We start from the raw sequence: 2,313 nt of genomic DNA on the forward strand, positions 1-2,313 counted from the left end.
CAGGTATTCTAAGCTAAATATACCCCTCCTTTTTCTCATTTTTCCTGTTCTTATTTTTCTTTCATAGTAATGTATATTAGTTCTCTTAGCTCCTGCACTGTTCCCATCATCTTCCATGTAGAAAATAAAACATGGCTTCTTATAAGTCAATGGCAACCAGATGCTTGAGAATAAAGCAAGCAAGGGAACAGAGAAGGAAATCAGGTATGTCACTAGGGGAAAATCATTTATTCATTTATGCATGCATCATTCATTTATATTCAACAAATATTTATGACATGCTGTGGGCTCAGCTCCATGTTATGGGGGAGGGAATTACCTCTCTGGTGAAAATCATGTCTAGGAGAGATTCTTTCTAGGGAATATGTTTTTTAGGTGTATGATAATTTCAGATTGTTTAATAGGAGCTGTGTTTCTGACGTTTCTTTTCCCCTCCAGGGAGAACCTTGGCATTTACCCAGGGAAACATCCTAATGTGTACCGTGGCAGGGCGTGGTAAAGAACCTAGAAACATGTCAGTCAGTAGAAGGTGTGTTGGCCCCCGGAAAGCCAAGCATTTGTCTGATGAAGCATAGAGTGAATTCTGGCTTATATGTTTCATCACTTGGCTGGGTCCTTCGTCAGATGAAAAGGTAGCAGCTGAGAGCATTAGCAGAAACAATTGACGGGCTAAGCTCTCTGTGAGAGCAGCAGACTCAATCGAGGAGGGCTGGAAGCCCAGGCGTGGGCTGTCATGAGAAGTCCACTTGCAGCAGTGGCAGTGATCCTCATAAACACGGGCCCACCGTGCTCAGAGCCCCATTTTCCCACTGACATTGGCCAAGATGCATCCTGGCTGTGTGCAGACCCCAGAGAGAACTGCCCGATAGTGGCAACACTGGCACAGTGGCCAGCCAAGGAGGGAAAAGCAAAGCAAAGAGGACTGAGGCAAAGCAAAGAGGACTGAAGATATGAAGACCCGTATCTCTGCTGAGAAGAGCTCATCATAGAACAAGGACAAATGGCCAGCAAGATGCCATGCCTGAAAATATTCAAACATCAAGTCCCACTTCCTGGTCTTACCTATGTCATCGGAAGTGTGTAGATTCTAGGCTGGAGAGCTACTTTTTTTCAATAGGTGGAAACAAAAATTCATGAAGCATCCTGAAATTATTGCTGAATTCAGGGATGAGGGCAGCTTCGATTTCTTCTCTGAACTTGGAATTGTTTGCTAGATTTTGCAGGCTTGACTCCAGCAGTGCAGTTGTAGAAACAAGCCAGCAGCAGCAGCCACACCTAAGCTGGGTTGCGCCTTCCTGGGAGGTGTCCCTGCCAAGATGGGAAAACCTGAGATGCTCCCCAGTGGATGCAAATATGTGGGAGAAAATTGAATAAAATTTCCCCTGGGGTGCCCCCCAGGAAGCATGCTTCCTCCTCCACTTGGTTTGGCTCTCATTTTCAGTTCGTCTGTGTTCAGGCAAAACCTTTATGTTGTTAAAAATGAAATTAGAACCGAAAGGAAGCAGGGAGCAGTTGTGGCCAAAGATGACACTGAGAAAAGGTGGAAATTGGTGGCAGCATCAGGCTTTCCCTGCTGGAGTCTGCACCCCTGAAATAAGCAGGCAGAAAGTTGGGAGGAAAGCCGAGCTGCAGGCCTCTCGGTCACTGGGTCCCACCACGGGGATACCCGGTGCCGCGCTGAGCCCAGAGCAGATCCAGACTCTCCTCCCGACTCCCCCACCCCTTCCTCTCCTTGAGGGGGCCTCACAGCCCCCCCACCCCCAGCACTTACCCATGCAATGCACAGGCCCTTCCCCAGTTCTGGAGGGATTTATGCCTTTTGGAGGAGCAGGTTTTAAAGCCAAAAGGGCTTTTTGGTGATATGCAAGAGCCCAAAGGATGGCACCACAGCCTGGCCACTGGGTGCAGGCTGGTGAGGTTCAGACTCACTGGCCACAGAGGTTGGGGGTTGGGCATGGGGTGGGGGCTTTCCCTGGATCCTAGGTGGACCAAGTCACCTCAGAGGAGTGAGGACCGGAGTGGATGCTCACGCTTCCTTCCTCAAGGGGCAAGCGCTGCAGGGAGAGGCTCCCAGCTGACATCCTTTAGGAGGCCTGGAATTGGGGCGGCTTTTCCTGACAGAGGGCTGTCTGGCTTGCTGAGCTGGGCTCTGCCAAAAAGCCATCTGAGCCCTGACTTTCATGCTAACGTAAGGAAGTGATTATGACTGGAAACTTGAACTTGGAATGTGGTCTCTCCAGGTCCAGGGTACTTCTAGTGTGCCTCGTTGGGTAAAACAGGCTTTCTCAGCTGCCCAGGTGGCCTTGCCATGGA

The 2,313-nt window shown here is 49.5% G+C and overlaps 1 annotated feature.

The window, feature by feature from the left end:
• Positions 1,870-2,060: a silencer, noted in NCBI's record as "fragment chr2:65927762-65927952 (GRCh37/hg19 assembly coordinates)". NCBI's record gives its function as "represses an EF-1alpha promoter that drives an FKBP-Casp9 reporter gene in an ReSE screen in K562 erythroleukemia cells {active_cell/tissue: K562}" and the evidence as "EXISTENCE:reporter gene assay evidence [ECO:0000049][PMID:32094911]".

Source organism: Homo sapiens, chromosome 2 (assembly GCF_000001405.40).
Source record: "Homo sapiens chromosome 2, GRCh38.p14 Primary Assembly".
Lineage (NCBI taxonomy): Eukaryota > Metazoa > Chordata > Mammalia > Primates > Hominidae > Homo > Homo sapiens.